This window comes from Homo sapiens, chromosome 19 (genome assembly GCF_000001405.40).
Source record: "Homo sapiens chromosome 19, GRCh38.p14 Primary Assembly".
In the NCBI taxonomy this organism is placed as follows: Eukaryota; Metazoa; Chordata; class Mammalia; order Primates; family Hominidae; genus Homo; species Homo sapiens.
Window position 1 is genome coordinate 43936751 of NC_000019.10, and position 22323 is coordinate 43959073.

The following is a 22323-nucleotide window of genomic DNA, read 5'->3' on the forward strand; positions in this document are numbered from 1 at the left end:
AGAGGAAGAGAGAAATGTAATCACCCAATGGACTCATCTTGCCCACTGCCCAGAGAGAGCCAATTTATCAAGACAGGAATTGCAATAGAGAAAGAGTTTAATACACGTAGAGCTGGCTAAATGGGAGACCAGGGTGAAGACTGAACTCTGCCGTTTTTTCTTTTCTTACTCAAATTCCTATCTAAGGGTCTGGGGAGTCAAGCCCTCCAAACCATAAAGTCTCATGAGAGGGGTTTTAATTTAACCCTATATAATGTGACTTACTTTCCAACCTGTCATAACACCTCATGACGGATAAGAAAGGAAATCAAAATACTTCAACCCCAAATATGTTTCATTGCCCTATCATGAAATAGCCCTGCAAAGTTGTCCTTTGTGGAGAAAAATCTACATTCTGTAGAGAATCTCCTTTCCTTTTTCCAGGCCATTTTTTCTGATCCAGGAGAGAATCAACTAAGAGTCTGACACTTTTTTTTTTTTTTAAGAGTTTTGCTCTTGTCATCCAGGCTGGAGTGCAATTGTGCAATCTTAGCTCACCACAACCCCCGCGTCCTGGGTTCAAGCGATTCTCCTGCTTCAGCCTCCCAAGTAGCTGGGATTACAGGCATGCACCACAATGCCCGGCTAATTTTGTATTTTTAACAGAGCCAGGGTTTCTCCATGTTGGTCAGGCTGGTCTCGAACTCCCAACCTCAGGTGACCTGCCTGCCTCGGCCTCCCAAAATACTGGGATTACAGCCGTGAGCCACCGTGCCTGGGCTACCTTTTTAAGTCTGATGAGAAAAATCTACGATCTCTTATTTCTGAAGACTGATACCTGGAAGCTTCATCTGCGTAATAAGAACCTTGGTCTCCACAATCTCTTATCCTAACCCAGACATTTCCTTTCTATTGATTCCAGGACTTTAGATAAACTCTTTCAACCAATTGCCAATCAGAAAATCTTTGAATCTGCCTATAACCTGGAAGCCCCACACACTTCACATACCCCTACCCCCCACCCTGCCCTCCACTCCCAACCCCCTCTGCTTCCAGTTGTCACACCTTTCTGGACTAAACCAACGTATGTCTTGCATATATTGCTTGATGTCTTATGTCCCACTGAAATGTCTAAAGCCTAGCTGTGGCCTGACCACCTTGGGCATATGTTCTCAGGGTCTTCTGAGGGCTGTGTCCTGGGCCATGGACGCTTGCATTTGGCTCAGAATAATCTCTTCAAATATTTTACAGAGTTTGAGTCTTTTCATTGACAGAAGTTTTACTGTTACTGAAATCAGCCTCCCTGAAAATTTGGAGGCTGGGGTTTTTAAAAGATAAGTTTGGTGGGCAGGGGGCTAGGGAATGGGTGTGTTTATTGGTTGGGGATGCAATTGGTTGGGGATGCAATCATGGGGTGTGGACCTCTTCTGGGTGGATGTCACATGACTGGTAGAGTCAAGAGTTGTGGGTCTGGGTGGGGTCGTCTGGTCATCAAAAATGCAAAAGCCTGAAAAGACATAGCAAAAGGCCAATCTTAGGTTCTGCAATAGCGATGTTATTTATAGGGATAATTGGGGAAGTTGCAAATTTGTGACCTCCAGAATAATGATTGGTAATTATTTATCCCTACATCTTAGCAGAATTCGGGTCTCTCTCATAATCCTAAACTTGTGGCCTTTTATTAGTGCTCTTGTGAGCAAAGGCTGCTCCTTTCCCAAACAATGCAAATCTAAAGACGACTACCCTGAACATGTTTCTCCTATAAGTGTGTCTATATGAGATTTAAATATGTTACTCAAATTCAGATTTGAGAAAATAGCCTTACTTAATCCTTGGATGTCATTGGACATTTTACAAACTCAATTTCTTTTAACATTATTACTACTAGAGGTAGTGGTACTGCTAATGTTTTAAAATCAACTTTATTAAGTATAATTTCTATTAAAACATACCCCTTTTAAAGTATAAAGTTCAGTACATTCGATGAACGTGTACACTTGTGTAAAGCCACCACACTCAAGATGCATATATTTACCTCACACCCCAAAAAGCTCTCGTTAGCCCTGCTATGATTGTTCTATCATGTCCCCAGCCCCAAGCACTAATCTGCTTTCTGTTATGAAAAATTAGTTGTTTTCCTGCCGAAGAATCTCATACAAATGAAATCATATAACATGTACTCTGATGTGTGAAGCTTTTTTGACACAGCATTTTTTTTTTTTTAGTTGGAGTCTCGCTCTGTCACCCAGGCTGGAGTGCAGTGGCGCCATCTCGGCTCACTGCAAGCTCCGCCTCCCGGGTTCACGCAATTCTCCTGCCTCAGCTGCCTGAGTAGCTGGGACTACAGGCGCCCACTACCACGTCCGGCTAATTTTTTGTATTTTTAATAGCGACGGGGTTTCACCGTGTTAGGTAGGATGGTCTCAGTCTCCTGACCTCGTGATCTGCCTGCCTCAGCCTCCCAAAGTGCTGGGATTACAGGCATGAGCCACTGCACCCAGCCGACACAGCATGTTTTTAAAATTCATTCGGGTTGTACTATTTGTTCTTACTGTTGAGTACTCTTCAATGATACGGATATATCACAACTTATTAATCCATTTATTTCTTGATAAACATTTGGAATGCTTTCAATTTTTTGCTACTATGAGCAAAGCTGATGTGGACATTTCACAACAACGATTTGTGTAAACATATGTTTTTACTTCTGTAGTTTAGATTCCTAATAGTGAAAGTGCTGGCTTACATTATATTTTATAGCATCATGAAAGCATAAATGATGTGCAGTACACTGCCCATAAAGTATATAATTTGATGAGACTTAACATATGTACACACTTAAGAAACCATGCCACAATCAAGGTAATGGACATATCCATCACACTCAAAACTTCCCTTGTGCCACTCTGTAATTTTTTTATAGGCTTAACTTTATCAGAAATTGTCAAATTGTTTTCCAAAAGCGTTGTAATTTTTATATTTCCATCAAAATGTATGAAGATTCCAGCATCTCCAATCTTCACCAACACTTGGTGTTGTCAGACTTTTTAAGTCATTCTGTGGGTGTGTAGTGCTTACGGTGGTTTTTGTTTGCATTTTACAGGTGACCAAATATTCATCACATTTTCATGTGCTTTTTGGCCATTTATGTATTTTGTTAAGTGTCTGCTTAAATCTTGAGCCCATTTTTTTAACTGCGTTAGTTGTCTTATTATTCATGAATTAAGAGTTCTTTTATATTTTGGATAAAAAACCTTTTGTCAGATATGTGTAGTGAGAATAGTTTCCTCCACTCTGGGCATGTATTTTTATCTCTAACAAAATCTTTTGAAGAGCAGGTTTTTATTTTTATGAAGTCCAATTTATCAATTTTTTTATAGTTAGTTTAAAAAAATTATATCTAATAAATCTTTGTTGACTCCAAAGATAAGATTTTTCTCCTATGTTTTCTTCTAGAAGTTTTATAAGCTTTAGCTTTTATATTTAGGCCTGTCATCCAAGTAATTACTATTTGTATAGGTGTTTCCAATTCATTTTTTTTCCAATTTATTTTTTAAAAAGACTCTTCCCTTCTTTAAATTACTTGAGACCTTTGGTACAAAATCATTTGACCATATATGTGTGTGGGTTTATTTCTGACTTCTGGACTCCCTATAGTGTTCTTTTGATTTATATGTCTAATTTGATGCCAATATTATGCTGTTTTGATTGCTGCAGCTTTATAAAAAGTCTAGAAGCCAGGCAACATCCATTCTCCAACTTTTTTTTTTCAAGGTTATTTTGGCTATTCTAGATGCTTTGGATTTTCATATGAATTTAACAATCAGCTTGTCAATTTCCTCAAATAAGCATGTGATTTTTTTTTTCCTGAGACAGAGTCTCACTCTGTCACCCAGGCTGGAGTGCAGTGGCATGATCTCAGCTCACTGTAACCCCCACCTCCTGAATTCAAGCGATTCTCTGCCTCAGTCTCCCAAGTAGCTGGGGCTACAGGTGTGCACCAGCACACCCGGCTAATTTTTGTAGAGATGGGGTTTTGCCATGTTGGCCAGGCTAGTCTTGAACTCCTGGCCTCCAGTGATCCATACTTCTTGAACTCCTATAGTGCTGGGATTACAGGCATGAGGCACCACACCTGGCCAGCCTGCTGAAATTTTAATCGGGACTGCATTCAATTTATAGATCAATTTGGTAAGAATTGATGACTTAACAATATCGTATCTTCCAATCCCTAGTCATACTATATTGCTCCATTCATTTAGGCCTCTTTTAATTTCTCTTGGCAATATTTTATAGCTTTCAATGTAGATGTCATGAATGTCTTTGATCAGATTTACCTTTAAATAGTCGTTTTTAAAATAAACCTCATACTTAAAAGCTTTAGATTTACAGAAAAATTGAGCAGGTAGTAGAGGAAGTTCCCATATATCCTATACCCAATTTCCCGTTATTAACTTCTTACGTTAGTATGTTACATTTGCTAGAATTAATGAACCAATATTGATACATTATTATTAACTAAAGTCCACGGTTTGTTGAGATTTATTTAGTTTTAAACTAATGTCCTTCTTATGTGCCAGTATGCCATCCAGAATGTCATGTTATATTTAGTTTATCATGTCTCCCTAGGCTCCTCTTGGTTGTGATCGTTTCTCAGACTTTCCTTGTTTTTGATGACCTTGACAGTTTTGAGGAGTGCTGGTCGGGTGTCCTGTAGAATATCCCTCAAATGGATTTTTTCCTCATAATCAAATTAAGGTTATGGATTTTGGGGAAGTAAAGTGCCATTTTTATCATGTCATTCAAGGGTACATGATCAATATAACCTATCACTCTTGACGTTGACCTTGATCACGTAGCTGAGGTAGTGTTTGTTAGGTTTCCTCACCCTTTTTCCCCTTTTCTCATATTGTACTCTTTGGAAGGAAGTCACTATGAGTAGCCCACATGGAGGAAATAGGGAATTATATCCCATCTCCTTGAGGGCAGAATAGCTATAAAAATTATGTAGAAATATTTCATATTTTCAATGTTACTAATATTATAAATAATGGTTTTTATTTTTCATTTCTGATTGTGTATTTATCTATTTTGTTTTTTAGGTTTGATCAGTTTTTGCTTTATGTATCTTGGAGCTCTGTTTTTAGGTGCATACACAATTAGGATTGTTAGGTCTTGTTAGTGAATGGATCCTCTATAATTGTGTAATGTTTCACTTTATCCCTGGAAGTTTTCATTGACCTAAAGTCTAAATTGTCTGATAATAATGTAACCACATCAGCCATACAGTTTTTCTTTTTATTGTGGTAAAATATGCATAGCATAAAATTTACTGTTTTAACTGTTTAAGTGAACAGTACAGTAGTGCTAAGTATGTTCACAATGTTGTGCAACTATCACTACTGTCCATCTCCAACTTTTTCTTCATCACATACTGAAGCTCCGTACCCATTAAACAATAACTTCACATCCTCTCTCTCCCTAGCCCCGAGTAATTGCTGTTCTACCTTCTGTTTCTGTGTATTTGACTATGCTAAGTACCTCGCATAAGTGAAATCATACAATATTTGTCCTTTTATGTCTGACTTCTTTCACTTAACATAATGTCTTTAAGCTTCATTCATGTTATCACGTGTCAGAATTTAATTCCTTAAGGCTGAATAATATTCTGTTGTATGTATATACTACATTTTGTTTATTCATTTATCCACAAACATTTGAGTTGTTGCCACCTTCTAGATATTGTGAATAATGCTGCTATGAACATTGCTATACAAATATCTGTTCAAGTGTCTGCTTTCAATCATTCTGTGTATACACCCAGAAGTGGAACTGTTATATCAAATGGTAATTTTATGTTTTTTTTTTTTGAGGAACTACTATATGGCTTTCCACAGTGACAACACCATTTTACATTTCCACCAGAAATGCACAAAGTTTCCAATTTCTCCACATCTGTGCCAACACTTGTTGTATCAGCAATCTTTTGATTAGTGCTTTCATGGCACATATTTTTCATCACTCCATTTTCAGTCTCTCTATATAATTATATTTAAAGTGAGTTTCTTATATATAGCTTATAGTTGGGTCACTTTTTTTCGTTGTTGTTGTTTGTTTGTTTATTTGTTTTTGAGACGGAGTCTGGCTCTGTCGCCCAGGCTGGAGTGCAATGGCGCAATCTCGGCTCACTGCAAGCTCCGCCTCCCGGGTTCATGCCATTCTCCTGCCTCAGTCTCCCGAGTAGCTGGGACTACAGGCGCCCGCCACCACGCCGGGCTAATTTTTTGTATTTTTAGTAGAGACGGGGTTTCACCGCGTTAGCCAGGATGGTCTCGATCTCCAGGCCTCGTGATCCGCCCGCCTCGGCCTCCCAAAGTGCTGGGATTACAGGTGTGAGCCACCATGCCTGATCGGGTCACGTTTTTAAAATAAATAATGTGACAAACATTGTCTTTATGTAGTTAGACACTTCACATTTAATGTAATTATTTATATGGTTTGATTTATACCTACCAATTTATTATTTTTGTGTTTGTCTCTTTTTGTTCCTATGTTACCTCCTTTCTTTCTTCTTTTGGATTATTTGAATTTTTTTAATGCTCTATTTTTATTTGCTTTTTTTTTTTTTTTGAGACAAGAGTCTCACTCTGTTGCCCAGGCTGTACATGTTATTTTTAAACTACATGACTTTGGTTTTATCTTTTGTTTTGTTTGATTTAGTGTTGCTTTAGAAACCCATGTATACATACCTAACATATTGTGGACTATTTTGAGCCAATAGTTTATGGCTTCACATAAAACAAGGAAAACTTACAACTATTGAGATCTGTTTATCCTCCCCTCTTTGTGCTATAGTGTGTGTATTATATCTACATGCTCTGAAAAATCCCACCAATACTTTAAATTTTTATATTCAACCATCATATATATTTTAAAGAATTTAAAAGGGGGGGAAATATTGTATTATGTGTACCAAGTTTACTAGTTCTGTTTCTCTGCCTTCATTCCTGAAACTTTCCTCTGATATTATTTCTCTTCAGCATTTCTTTTAAAGTATATCTGCTAGTGATGAATTCTCTTAGTTTTCTTTTGTCTGAGAAGGTCCTTATTTTATTTCCATTTCTGGAGGATATTTTCCTTGAATATAGTGTCTGGATTGACAATTCTTTACTTTCAGCACATTAAAATGCTGTTTTACTGTCTTCTGACATCCAGGGTTTCTGATAAGAAATTTGCATTCATTTGAAATGTTGTTGCCCTATTTGCAATGTATAATTTTTCTTTAAACGCTTTCAAACATTTTTTTCTTTATCTTTGATATTTTAATAGTTTCATTATGATGTGCTGGGGTATGGTTTTCTTCATTTTTAACATATTTAGGTTTTGCTGAGTTTTTTTTCAATCTGCAGATGTATTTCTTTTATTAAATTGGTGAAGTATTCGACTATAATTTATTTGAAAAGTTTCCTATTTCAATACCTTTCTCCTCCTCTTCTGGAATTCCAATCATGGGAATGTTAGATCTTTTAATGTTGTCCCAAATGTCCTTAGGGCTCAATTCAGTTTTTCTATTTTTGCTTTTTCTCCTCCAGATTCGATATTTTATACTGTTCAGTTTTTAAGCTCAATGAGTTGCCTTTGTCATCTCCATTCTGCTACTGACTGATTTTAAATTTCAGTTATTGTATTTTGAAGTTCTGAAATTTCCATTTGCTTGCTTTTATAGTTTCTAGTTTTCTGACAACTTTTATATTTCCATTTATTTCAAATGCTTACCTATACCTCATGGAGAATGATTACAATAACTTTTAAAAGTCTCTGATAATGCAAAAATCTAGAACATTCAGGGGTTGGAATCTCTTGAATGGCTTTTTTCTTGAAGTTGGTCAGATATACCTGTTTTTCTTTTTACATGTCAAGTAATTTTGGATTGTATCCTGAGCATTTTCAATATGTTACCAGATTCTGGTCCTATTAAAATCTATAGAGAACATTGAGGGTTTTTTTTTTGTTTGTTTTAGCAGGCAGCCAACCAGGTTAATTTCCTTTTTTTTTTTTTTTTTTTTTTTTTTTTTTTTCAGATGGAGCCTTGCTTTGTCACCCAGGCTGGAGTGTAGTGGCGTGATCTCAGCTCACTGCAGCCTCTGCCTCCTGGGTTCAAGCAATTCTTCTGCCTCAGCCTCTCAAATAGGTGGGATCACAGGCACATGCCACCACACCTGGCTAATTTTTGTATTTTTAGTAGAGATGGGGTTTCACCATGTTGGCCAGGCTGGTCTCAAAATCCTGATCTCAAAGTGATCTGCCCACGTCAGTCACCCAAAGTGCTGGGATTACAGGCGTGAGCCACTGCTCCTGTACTTAATTTCATATCATAAGTTTTGTCTCATATTCTCTATGTGTTAGTTCTAAAAACTTTGCTGTGCTATTTGGGTATGCCACTCAGTGCGCCACTCAGGGATTAGCTGATTTCTGAGCAATGGTTTATAACATAGTTCAGTTCTCAATGTATTTTCTATGTTCCTTTGGGTGTGTTATTTGAATGTGCAGCTTAGTGATGAGCCTTTAAATTGTGTCAGTTCATCCACAAAACTGAGGTATCCCCTTCTCCAGCTCTGTCTTCTGAATCTTCTCTCACACTCTCTGGATTCTAAGGGCTTTCTTCCCAAGATCCTTTGACCCAAAAGATGAGATTCTCTCAGAGTTTTAGCCTCCCACCCTGTCACCCTTGGCTTACTCTGGTGAGAGAAAAGAGAAGTATATGATAACTATCCCTCCCCACATTTTGAACAACAGAAACCTCTTTTTTTTCAGTTTCTCTATGTAGACACATACATTTTCACTCAGGATTTTACATGCCCATATGCACTAATATTAGTGCAGTTCCACCATCAGTGCTGGCATTGGGAAGGGCCAGGAAAAAAAAAAGAGATGAAAGGGAGTTTCCCCCGTACATTCTGACTCACAGAGGCCCTCTTTCTAGTTTTCTGGCCAGAAAGATGAGTTTCTTTTAGAATTGTTTCAAGAGGAATGCTTCCTGGATTTGCCCATTTGGTATGATGTTGGCTGTGGGTTTGTCATAGGTGGCTCTTATTATTTTGTTTCTTCAATAGCTAGTTTGACAGTTTTTAACTTGAAGCAGTGTTATTTTATTAAAAGCCTTTTCTGCATCTATTGAGATAATTTTGTGGTTTTTGTCTTTAGTTCTGTTATGTTAATGAATCACATTTATTGATTTGCGTATGTTGAACCAAACTTCCATCCCAGGAATAAATCCTGCTTGATTCTGATGGATAAGCTTTTTGATGTGCTGCTAGATTTGGTTTGCCAGTATTTTGTTGAGGATTTTTGCATTGATAGTCATCAAGGGTATTGGCCTGAAGTTTTCCTTTTTTGTTGTGTCTCTACTAGGTTGTGGTATCAGGAGGATGCTGGTCTTATAGAATGAGTTAGGGAAGAGTCCCTCCTCCTGTTTCTTGAAATAGTTTCAGTAGGAATGCTACCAGCTCTTCTTTGTGCATCTGGTAGAATCTTTGGCTATGAATCTGTTGGTCCAGGGCTTTTATTTTGGTAGGCTATTTATTACTGATTCAATTTTGAAGCTTGTTATTGGTCTGTTCAGGGATTCAGTTTTTTCCTGGTTCGGTCTTGGGAGGATGTATATGTCCAGGAATTTATGCATTTCTTCTAGATTTTCTATTTTATATGCATAGAATATTCATAATATTCTCTGATGATTATTTGTATTTCTGTGAGGTCAGTGGTAATATTCTCCTTGTCATTTCTGATTCTGTTTATTTGAATCTTCTCCCTTTTCTTCTTTATGAGCCCAGCTAACAATCTTTTTTTTTTTTTTTTTTTTTTTTTTTTTTAAAAAACCACCTCCTGGATTCGTTGATATTTTGAATGATTTCTTATGTCTCAGTCTCCTTCAGTCATCTCTGATTCTGGTTATTTTTGTCTTCTGCTAGCTTTGGGTTTGGTTTGTGTTTGGTTCTTTAGTTCTTTTAGTTGTGACCTTAGGCTGTCAAATTGAGATCTTTGTAACTTCTTGATGTGGGTGTTTAGTGCTATAAATTTCCCTCTTAACACTGCCTTAGCTGTGTCCCAGGGATTCTGGTATGTTGTGTGTTTGTTCTCATTAGTTTCAAAGAACTTCTTTATTTTTGCTTTAACTTTATTATTTACCCAAAAGTCATTCAGGAGCAGGTTAATTTTCATGTAATTGCATGGTTTTCAGCAATTTTTTAAAGTCTTGATGTCTATTTTTACTGTGTGATGGTCCAAGAGTGTGTTTGGTATGAGTTCCATTAATTTGCATTTGCTAAGGATTGTCGTATGTCTGATTGTGTGGTTAATTTTAGAGTATGTGCCACGTGGCTATGAGAAGAATGTATATTCTCTTGTTTTGGGGTGGAGAGTTCTGTACAGGTCTATTATATCCATTTGGTCCAATTTTGAGTTTAGGTCCTGAACATATCTGTTAATTTTCTACCTCAATAAAGTTTGTAATACTGTCAGTAGGGTGTTGTAGTCTCCCACTATTATTGTGTGGGAGCCTAAGTCTCTTTGAAGGTCTCTAAGAACTTGCTTTATGAATCTGGGTACTCCTGTGTTGGGTGCATATATGTTTAGCATAGTTAGGTCTTCTTGTTGAATTGAACTCTTTACCATTATGTAATGCATTTCTTTGTCATTTTTGATTTTTTTTTTGGTTTAAAGTCTGTTTTGTCTGAAATTAGGATTGCAACCTCTACTTTTTCCTGTTTTCCATTTGCTTGGTAGATTTCTCTTCATCCTTTTATTTTGATCCGTGGGTGTCACTGCATGTTAGATGGGTCTCTTGAGGACAGCATACCAATGGGTCTTGGTTCTTTATCCAGATTGCCACTCTGTGCCTTTTAATTGGAGAATTTAGCCCATTACATTCAAGGTTAGTATTGATATGTTTGGATTTGATCCTGTCATCATGATGTTAGCTGGTTATTATGCAGACTTGTTTGTGTGGTTGCTTTATAGTGTCACTGGTCTGTGTACTTCTGTGTGTTTTTGCAGTGGCTGGTAATATTATTTCCTTTCCATATTTTGTGCTTCCTTCAGGAACTCTTGTAAGGCAGATCTGGTGGTAGCAAATTCCCTCAGCATTTGCTTTTCTGAAAAGGATCTTATTTCTCCTTCACTTATGAAGCTTAGTTTGGCCAGATTTGAAATCCTGGCTTGGAATTTCTTTTCTTTAAGAATGCTGAATATTGACTCCCCATCTCTTTTGGCTTGTAAGCTTTCTGCTGAGGTTCACTGTTAGTTTGATGGGCTTCCCTTTGTAGGTAACCTGTCCTTTTTCTCTAGCTGCCTTTAACATTTTTTTTCTTTCATTTCGACCGTGGAGAATCTTTTGGTTATGTGTCTTGTGGGTGATCTTCTTGTGGAAGTATCTTCCAGTGGTTCTCTGCATTCCCTGAATTTAAATGTTGACCTCTCTAGCTAGGTGGAGAATTTGTCGTGGGTGATATCATGAAGTATGTGGTCTAAGATTCTCCACATCTCTTTCAGGAACACCAATGGGTTGTAGATTTGGTCTCTTTACATAACCCCATATTTCTTGGAGGTTTTGTTCATTCCTTTTCATTAATTTTTCTCTATTTTTGTCTGACTGTTTTACTTCAGAAAGCCAGTCTTCAAGCTCCAAGATTTTTTTCTTCAGCTTGGTCTATTCTGCTATTAATACTTGAGATTGCACTATGAAATTCTTGTAGTATATTTTTCAGCTCTATCAGGTTGGCCACATTCTTTTCTGTAGTGGCTATTTTGTCTGTCAGCTCCTGTATCATTTTATTGTGATTCTTAGCTTCTTTGGATTGGGTTTCAATGTACTCCTGCATCTCAATGATCTTCATTCCTATCCATATCCCAAATTCTATTTCCATCATTTCAGCCATCTCAGCTCTGTTCAGACCCTTCCTGAAGAGCTAGCATGGTTATTTGGAAGAAAGAAGTTACTCTGGCTTTTTGAATTGACAAGAGTTCTTGAGCTGGTTATTTCTCATCTTCATGGGATGATGTTCTTCAATCTTTGAACTTGCTTTCCTTTGGATTATTTTTTTCCTTTTATTCTATTTGATATCCTTGAGGGTTTGATGTGGTATAAGGTGAGTTCAGCTGACTGGCTTCATTTAAGGAAGATTTTAGGGGGCCAATGCTCAGCTCTCAACTCCTGGACTGCATGTTGTAACTCTGGTGGGCTTATATCGGGCCCTGACTTTGTTCTCTGGATTCTCGAGGTTGGGAACGAACTACACTGGGGTGGCCAAGGTGTTCCCAGGCTGCTGGTCACTGCACTACAATGGATGGTGCCAAAGCATTTTTTAGTGCAGTGGCAGCAGGATTTGTCATCATTCTCACATGCCAGCTGCAGTGGCAGTGGCAACATGGTGGGGTGCATGCTCATCAGCTGTGGCAGCTTGCTAGTGGGTACCGGGATGCCTGCTTCTGTGTGAGCACTTACAGCAGTGGTGGAGGCAGCATGGCTCAAGGGGGCAGGGGGGCCCCCCACTGGTGACTGTATGTGTAGTAGTGCTGGTGGTGGTGTTAGCATGGGGATGAGGCACTGGCTTCTGCAGGTCTGTGTGTGTCCCCTGTGCATGTTCATATGTTATTTAACCTACACTCCATATTTAAATTTATTCTGTTTTTAATTTAAATTCCTTGTAATTGATTTGCCTCCAGTTTAGCCCACTTTTATGAATTGTTTTTAACTGTCACGTTTCTCCTGTCTCCATTAATCTGGCATGATTCTTCAGCTTTCTCTTTTTGCTCATGGTGTTTTTGATACTATTTTAATGTATGGATATACTGCATTTTCTATATCAATAGTAATCAAAAGTAATGCCATTTTTAATAGCCACACATAAAGTCAAATACCTAGGAATTAACCAAAAAAGTTAAAGTTGTCTATAATAAAAACTATAAAACACTGACAAAAAAATTGAAGAGGACACCAAAAAATGGAAAAATGTTCCATGTTTATGGATTGGAAGAATCAGTAACGTTAAAATATCCATACTACCCAAGCAATCTACAGATTCAGTGCAATCTCTGTTAAAAATACCAATGACATTCTTCAGAGAAATTAAAAAGCCTCAAATTTATATGGAACCACAAAAAAACCCAGAATAATTGAGGCTATCCTGACCAAAAAGAACAAAACCGACTTCAAATTATACTACAGAGCTATAATAACCAAAACAGCATAGTACTGGCATAAAAACAGACACAGAGACCAATGGAACAGAACAGAGAACAGAAACAAATCCACACACCTACGGATAACTAATTTTTGACAAATGTGCTGAGAACACATGAGGAAAAGACAGTCTCTTCAATAAATGATGCTGGGAAAACTGGATATCCATATGCAGAAGAATGAAACTAGACCTCTATTTCTTACCACATAAAAAAGCAAATCAGAATGGATTAAAAACTTAAATCTAAGACCTCAATCTATAAAACTAATAAAAGAAAACTTTGGGCCAGGCGCGGTGGCTCACACCTGTAATCCTAGCACTTTGGGAGGCTGAAGTGGGTGGATCACGGGGTCAGGAGATCAAGACCATCCTAGCTAACACGGTGAAAACCTGTCTCTACTAAAAATACAAAAAATTAGCCTGGCGTGGTGGCAGGTGCCTGTAGTCCCAGCTACTTGGAAGGCTGAGGCAGGAGAATGGTATGAACCCAGGAGGCAGAGTTTGCAGTGAGCCGAGATCATGCCACTGCACTCCAGCCTGGGTGAAAGAGCGAGACTCCACCTCAAAAAAAAAAAAAAAAAGAAATTTTCAAGAAAAAAGAATTATTTTACAAATGTATAAACAATATTTGAAAAATGAGGGAAAAGGCCAAAAAGCCATTAGTACAGTAGGCAAAAGGTTTGAACAATTTACCAATAATAATAATAATAATAATAATCATGGCCTTTGAAAATATGAAAAGATGTTCTATTTCATTTACAATACAGGAAATGTAAATTAAAATTACATCGGCATACTATCAGTTTTAGCCTCACATCATCAGGTTATACTAAACATTTTCCTCTTTTCAGTTCTCTACTGATCCTCAAGCAGTAATTTCTTGTCAGTTCCTTGAAGATTTTATCTCCACCTTTGTTCACTCTCCAGTAATACTTCTGTAATAATTGGGGATATTTCAATCAGGAAATCATTGTTTATGTAATATTTTTGCTTGAAGACTCAAGAGAAAGGTAAGGACGACACTCAGTGCAGGAGTCCATATTACCACATAGGCGTTTCGGATGGGGGATTCCCTTCTCCGGGGACTTGGAAGAAGTGTGGTCAAGAAGCTATGTGTAGTTGCAACACTTCCCCCTGGAGGGTAAAACTGTGAACGTTTACTCCTTGGGCATTCTGGGAAGTGTCCCAACGGTCGGTGGGGTTGCGGGCACTTCCGGTCAGGCAGGCGGATCCGGGGAATTCTGGGAAATGTAGTCCAGACGCTCTGTGGAGTCGCGGGAGCTACGGCTGCGGGAGTTACCCTTTATTCTGTGATATTTTGAGCTGTTCTGCGTCTCGCAGGCCCTTCTGAATTTCCTGGACCTACTCTCGGAACCCTCAACGAGCTAGCGATAGATTTAGAGGAAAGGAAGCACCGTCGGAAAGCAAAGGTTTGGAAGGGTGAGGGCGGCGGTTTGCGATCCCCGCGGCAGAGCCTTCTTGCGTTTAGGGCTGTCCTAGCATCCCGAGGGACTCGGTCCTGTCACGTTTCGCCCTATTTGGGGGTTTCTGGGGCTCTCAGCTCGCCCAATCCGCATCCCTCCACTACTGGCGCGGGGCCGATTCCCCCGGTACAACGTTGGGGTGTTACTTAATCTCCCTGGGACTCTTTTTGCTTTTCTTTAAATGGGGGATATTAAGACCTTCCTAATAGAATTGTCTTGGGAATTGAAAGAGGTAATATAAAAGAGTCTTAAAACAGTTTTTGTTATAGTGAATGGCGATCTCTTGTTAATTTCCTGAGAAATGGTCAGGTCCCTGGGCTGGTGTCAGAGCTCCAGCTGGCTCTTCTCTCTGATCCCTGCAGAACGCTGGAAAATTCTGGACAGTCTTTGACCTCTTTTTTTTTTTTTTTTTTTTTTTTTTTTTTTTTTTTTTTTTTGAGACGGAGTCTCGCTCTGTCGCCCAGGCTGGAGTGCAGTGGCGCGATCTCGGCTCACTGCAGGCTCCGCCTCCCGGGTTCACGCCATTCTCCTGCCTCAGCCTCCCGAGTAGCTGGGACTACAGGCGCCCGCTACCACGCCCGGCTAATTTTTTGTATTTTTAGTAGAGACGGGGTTTCACCGTGTTAGCCAGGATGGTCTCGATCTCCTGACCTCGTGATCCGCCCGCCTCGGCCTCCCAAAGTGCTGGGATTACAGGCGTGAGCCACCGCGCCCGGCCGTCTTTGACCTCTTATTTAGGAAAAGGAGGGGTATCTCCAATTTCCACAGAAGGAGGGGAGGGTCTTGACCGTTTTGTCAAGAGTGGTGACACAACCATGGTATTTTGTAGCATTGTTTCCGCATCCTGACTTCTCTAAAAGGATTGCTTGGAGGTAGACGGAGTGACTCCTTGACTACTGACAACAAAGCTCCACGCGAGTGTGACTTGTCATTTTTCTTTTACAGTAACGTTCACATCTATTGTAGGATGCTGTAATCGGGCATGGGCATTGATAAGAAAGTCTTAATTGCTATCTTCAATTCTAAGGGCTTTATACAAAGAAATTCACGTACACCACATGGTAGCTCTGTGGAGAGGTACTGCCATTTCGTCTATTAAAGATGAGAGTGAAACAAAGGGAGCAGGAGTTATTTGCCCATAGTTGCCCAAGTAATAAGAAGTGGAGCCGGGGTTGGAACCTTTGCGGTCCAGGTCAGAGCCCAAGCTGATAATTTCTGGGATACATTCTCACTGAGGCAGAGGAACTAGCTGGAATCAGGTGGGGAAAGCAAGTTAGGACTTGATTGGAGGGACCTTGAGAGCAAGGCTCATGGGCTTGGACCTCTCTAGGACTCTTTTAAAACTTTGTCAACTATTTTTTTTCACTTATTACACATATTTTGTATTCTTATAGAACCATATCATTATGGAGCATTCAGAAATTGCAGAAATACGACAAGAAAAAAAGCTTAATTACCTCTGAATGCAGGATATAAAGATAGTAACCATTAAGCTTATTTTTATTTATTTAATTCATTTTAAAATTTTCTGAGACAGAGTCTCACTCTCATGCCCAGGATGGAGTGCAGTGGCATGACCTCAGCTCACTGCAACCTCCACTTCCCGGGTTCAAGCGATTTTCCTCCCTTAGCCTCCCAAGTAGCTGGGATTATAGGCACACACCACCCCATCTTTTAGTAAAGACGAGTTTTCACCGTGTTGGCCAGGCTAGTCTCGAACTCCTGACCTTAGGTGATCTGCCCACCTCAGCCTCCCAAAGTGCAGGGATTACAGGTGTGAGCCACTGTGCCCAGTCATTAAGCTTTTTTTTTTTTTTTAATGCTTATTGCCTTATTACAAAGGATATTACAAAAGCTACAGGTGAAGAGATGCATAGGGCAAGGCATGTGGGAAGGGATGCAGAGCTTCCATACCTTCCTGGGTATGCCACTCTCCAGGAACCTCCATGCATTCAGCAATCCAGAAGCTCTCAGAATCCAGTCCTCTTGGTTTTTTATGGAAACTTCATTGCATAGACACGATTGATTAAACCATTGGCCACTGGTGATCAGCTTAACCTTTAGCCCTTCTCCCTTCCCAGAGGTTGGGGAGTGGGGCTGAAAGTCCCATGCCTTTACTCTCTAACCATGCATTGGTCTTTCAGGTGACCAGCCACATCCTGAAACTACCTAGGGGTTGCCAGCCATCACTCAATTCATGAGTATACAAAAGATCAATTTGGAGATTCTAAGGATTTTAGTTGTATGCCAGGAGACATGTTAGTGACCAAATATGCATTTAGGTTATCACCGTACATACCCATCTTTGAACCCAGATCCTCTTACATAAAAAGGATTTACAACTCAGCCAGGCGTGGTGGCTCACACCTGTAATCCCAGCACTTTTGGGAGGCTGAGGTGGGTGGATCACCTGAGGTCAGGAGTTCGAGACCAGCCTGGCTAACATGGGGAAACCCCATCTCTACAAAAAATAGAAAATTAGCCAGGTATGGTGGCACATGCCTGTAGTCCCAGCTACTCGGGAGGCTGAGACAGGAGAAACACCTGAACCTGGGAGGCAAAGGCTGCAGTGAGCAAAGATTGCCCCACTGTACTCCAGCCTGGGCGAGACAGAGTGAGACTCCGTCTCAAAAAAAAAAAAAAAAAAAAAAGGATATGCAACTCAAAAGATACCACCACATTATCAGAATCCCATTTAGTCACATTAATAAGTCCAGTCCAGTGGGTGAAGCCACTCAGGTTTGCTGGCTTCCATTTGATATACGGTTCTAAAAGTAGGAGTGGTCTTAGCAAAACATATAGCTTCACCATTTCAGGCATCTGGTGTAATTGAGCTAAGAGACAGTGTCATCTTAAGGTATTAATATACTACTGGAGTTCTCTCAATTCATAACTCATTTATTCATTCCTTTACCCTCAGCTACCGTTTCTCCTTCTTTCCATTAATACACAGACTTTTTCACCTTTGGAAGGGACATTAGAATCACCACTGTGCCGGTCTAGACTGCAGACAGCAATACTAGTCTAGCAAATGCTTCCCCCTCAGTTCACCTCCATTCAGATAGGGTAAGGTTACTTAGGTGCAGAATAGTGGACTGTTTTTACCATCAGGAAATACAGTTATATTCACTGTTAGCCCAATTTTGCCAGATGGGGTGAAGGCACAACCCATCCCCATCGGGCCCTCAGGAATTCTGACACAAGTTTTAGAAATTTAGTTATGGTTTCTTGCTTAGGAATCATCCCTGCTTCCAACACTTGTAGTTGTAGCCCTGATCCTGTGACCACTACATCAGGTATGGGGAAAAAAATTGAGGTAATATGGGGAAGAAGGAAAAAAAAAAGTGTAATCATTATACTGGTGTTCTCCTCCCTTGGCAAGAATTGCATAGTCATCCCAGCCTCCTTTCCCACCAGGTCTTCCCCAGATCAACCAGAAAAATAGAGAAATTGCTATCCCACTGACATTGGGTATGAGCACACACTTGCGAAGGTGTGTAAGCCAGCCCTGATGCTTTTATCTCTTTGTTTTAGACAATCAATGTTTTAATTGCCTGTTCCACTTCCCTATCAAACTATTACTCTGAGGAGGATCGCTCTCTATTCATTGCTGGACATTGTGGGCTCTATATCTAGTGTGTTTCTTGGTCTTCTTTCTTCTTTTTTTTTAAAAACACTCTGAACATTTGGATCTTCCACCATATAAGCAAAACCCGGTCAAGAATCAGTGTCTACTGCTGTCAAGACCCATCTGTAGCCTCCCAGGGCTACCAGCATCACTTGCCAGCTACACTCAGGTCCTTCCCACCAGGGAATCTGTTTCACAGCCATCTTCACTGTGTCATTTTTGCTGACAAACAGAACAGTTTTCATCTGCATTTTGTGCCTCAGAGGGTGCAAGAACATGTCTCGATTTAGCCCATCTTTGCACTGCTGCACTACTCCCATATCCACTAATTTCACGGACCCAGGCAGCCACTGCAAGGGAGCACATGGGGATATCTGCTTGTTGATTCAAAACCTGAAGGGGGCTCTGCCAATGAGCATCAACAGGTCCTACTTTAATGCACACCCCCTACTTCAAATTTCTGTAAGTTCATGCCTCACATGGGCATCCCCTTTAATAGACCAGATCTCCACTGCTCTTCTGCCTGAGTGTATGGCCAGGCCATTTGCCACTGCCCATGAGTCAGTAAAGATCCCAAAGTGGGTTTCTACCACCATTCAGTTTTTCATCACTGCTAGGAAAACAGCGTGTAATTCAGTGCATTGAGCTGATATGTTTTTACCTTCTTTGATCAGGGTGGCATCCTTCCAAATCATATGTTCATTCACTTTGGAACTGCCATTCACAAAATGAGCAGCTCTTTGCTGGTCAGTTGAGAGTTGTTTATAGCTTCTCACACAGTTCCAGAGTCAGTCTCCAGGTAGCATGACTCTGTATAAACTATTTCCATTTTATTATGGAACTCTTCTGGGCACTGCCATCCCCATTAGAATGTTTTCCTAACATTACCTAAGAGAGCATAGGTATTTCAGGTGTCAAGATTTTTAATGTCTTTCAGTCATAGGGCTAGCCTCAGTTAATGCCCCATAGTGGGGTAGTAAATACTCTTCAAGTCAAAATTTTCTAGTCCAAAGTCTCAGTAATTGTCACTAGAAGGCACTCACAGGCTTCTGTCATAAGCCCCAGCCTACATTCCACATGGAGCTATCAAAACAGAATTTGTCCATACCAGCACTTCAGATTCTATTCTACACTGTGCGGACTCAGGCAATCTTACTGGTTCCCATTTAGCATGTCCAACTAATATTGCTTGAAGGGTAGATTTATATGCCTTCTGTTTTGTAATGCTAGTCAGGAGAAACGTTCCCTAGTCAGATACAATGTCCATTCCCATAAAACATTTAGGTAAAGAAGATACAACTTCTTAATATAAAGTCTGTTTAAATAGTCCAACTTTCATAATCCTATCAACCCTTACATTTTTATGTTCTAGTCCCAGGAAGTTTTCCACCACTTGCCCACCCCAACACTCCCCCCAGCCATTTTATCCTCTCTTATGCGAAACACTGAGAGTCAGCAGGAGGGGATTGAGCCAAAGGACCCTGGCTCTTGTCAATCTTTATCTTGACTAATCTACTTGACTACTGCCCCCAAGCAATTCCAAGTGGGGTTTCTCATCATAATCTTTACCTTCGGCCTTTTAAAATTTCTCCAAACTGGAGTAAATACAACAAACTTATTTGAAACCCTTTAATATTGGGGGATCAGCAGAGGATCCACCAAACTTTCAATATTATTGTGTTCAGACCTTTGTTTTAGCCTCATCAATTTCCATTTTATTTTTTCCATTTCTTAATAAAACTGTTAAAAGTAAAAAATCTTAAATAAGTCAAACAATTTAATTGAGCAAAAAACAATTTGCAAATCAGACAGCCCCTGAGCTAGAATAGATTCAGAGAAGCTTCACTGCTACCATGTGGTTGAAGAAGATTTGTAAACAGAAAAAGGAACGTGACATTCAAAAAGTGGAAGTGAGGAACAGAAACAGCCAGTTTGGTTACAGCTCAGCTTTTGCCTTATTTGATCCTTGTTTGAACAGTTGGCTCCCTTTGATTGGTCAAAACTCAGTGACTGGCACAAGAGTAGGTTACAGTCTGTTTATACTTCCAGTTAGGTTACAGTTCGTTATATATGGATAAACCTTTTCTTATTTTTATTTTTATTTTTTATTTTTTTTGAGATGGAGTCCTGCTCTGTCGCCCAGGCTGGAGCGTAGTGGAGCAATCTTGGCTCACTGCAACCTCTGCCTCCTGGGTTCAAGTGATTCTCCTGCCTCAGCCTTCCAAGTAGCTGGGATTACAGGCACACACCACCACACCTGGCTAATTTTTAGTAGAGACGGGGTTTTACCATGTTGGCCAGGCTGGTCTTGAACTCCTGACCTCAGGTGATCTACCCACCTTGGCCTCTCAAAGTGCTGGTATTACAGGCATGAGCCACCATAACCCGCCTGGAGAAACCTTTATACCTAACTTAAAGTATGTAAGAAAGCAGCTTTAGGCTAAACTTAATTTAACATAATGATCTAAAGATTTTCACCCTGTTGGAATGAGTCCCATGACTCTCTCTCTTTCTTCTTAGTTTCACCTTTATCATTGTTTTTTAAATGACCTTTAAAAAATTTCTAGCTTTCTGGGATGAGTCGTTTGACTCTGCCCTCTGCCTTTTTCCTCTTGCTAATTAACCTAATGTTTTTATTAACATCTTTAATATCTTTAAAGGGAAGCTGAGACAGCAAATCTGATAAGGCTTCTAGGACTGTTGTTCAGTTTTGCAAGAGTTAAGATGTCAACTAATAAATAAAATCAATACTGAGCCACAAACAAAAGAAAAGATGTTTTAAGTGGGGTCTTGTGAATTGCAATCAAGAAGTACAGATCTAGCAGTCAGCTAAATCATTTCCTGTTCTATCCAGGCAAGGTTGGGCAGGGGCTTATAAATGTTTACTGTAAGTTTACATATCTGGAAGGTATTAGTACAGTCCATGATTGATGTCAGTTGGTTAGCAACTTAGGATGTCTTTGGTTGATGATCAATCTAGTTCAGCATAGCTGTTTCCCCAAGAGTTTCGCAATCAGGCCATGTATAAACAATTCCAATCAAATGCAGCTGGTTTTACAATTTGGCCCAGTTAAACAGGTTAAAATCCATCTGGATGTGTACATAACTGAGGTCCAACTCCACATGCCTCTTTTTAGAAACTTCTGACATAACCATCTCCATTTTGAGTTTTCTTTTTACAAAAGTCACGTGGGGTATCCATGCGAAAGGGGCCCCCTTAGCCACAGCATTTACCATGACCTGGGTAAGAAGCATATTCAGCAGATGAATATCCCAGTCATCATAAATTCAGTCCCACGTGGCTTGCATGCGGTATATCAGCTGCATCATCTGGGGTATCCCACCGAGCATTTATAGGGTGAGTTGAGCAGTCCGCTTTTTCAGGGCAAGCAGACATTACCATGTCTTTTATCCAGTTGATCAGGCTGGCTGTTCCCTTGGGAACAATCTGTTAACATTGATAGTGAGATTCAGGCAATATGGTTAAATATTGAGTTTATTCAAACACAAAATTTTAAGATGTCCACCTGGGAGGACACGGACTTCAAAAGATTGGATAAGTGCTCTGAAGTGGAAAGGTTTGAGAGTCATTATGTAGGCAGGGTCTAGGAAGCTTAACAGGATGTCAGCATTTTCTATACAAGATTAATGCATAGTTATAGCAATTCGATAGCAGTGTTTCCTTTTATTGGGAAGAACGTATTTAACATTCTGCATTAGAGATGTAATAGTCAAAGGGGTCTTTTATCTCAGACAAAGAATCTTTTATCTTAGATGCTATCTGGTCTGAGCCAGGAACAAGAAAACAAAGAAGGAAGTTAAGAGGTCAAGCTCAGTGACTCAGTTTCCTTCGGGCCTAACAACTTTTAGAAGCCCAAAATAGATAAGACTATTGGGTTTTTGGTTGTTTTTTTTTTTTCACATCTCCTGTGTGTCTGCATCAGGTGTTTACCGTCTGTAATTGTTGCATCATGTATCACCATCTGTAATT

General features: G+C 39.7%; 1 protein-coding gene across 4 annotated transcripts in view, besides 2 other annotated features; it reads left to right on the forward strand.

The window, feature by feature from the left end:
• Positions 14195-14334: an enhancer, noted in NCBI's record as "active region_14746". NCBI's record gives its function as "activates an Ori minimal core promoter by ATAC-STARR-seq in GM12878 lymphoblastoid cells {active_cell/tissue: GM12878}" and the evidence as "EXISTENCE:reporter gene assay evidence [ECO:0000049][PMID:35858748]".
• Positions 14415-14534: an enhancer, noted in NCBI's record as "active region_14747". NCBI's record gives its function as "activates an Ori minimal core promoter by ATAC-STARR-seq in GM12878 lymphoblastoid cells {active_cell/tissue: GM12878}" and the evidence as "EXISTENCE:reporter gene assay evidence [ECO:0000049][PMID:35858748]".
• Positions 14478-22323, forward strand: part of ZNF221 (zinc finger protein 221) — a 30386-nt gene continuing 22540 nt past the window's right edge. For 3 of the 4 annotated variants that reach the window (XR_007066976.1, NM_013359.3, NM_001297588.2), the window contains exon 1: positions 14478-14650. The gene's annotated coding sequence lies outside the window, so the exon portion shown is untranslated. Of the gene's footprint in view, positions 14661-22323 lie in introns of all 4 variants that reach the window. The other variant, NM_001297589.2, reaches the window with a different exon arrangement.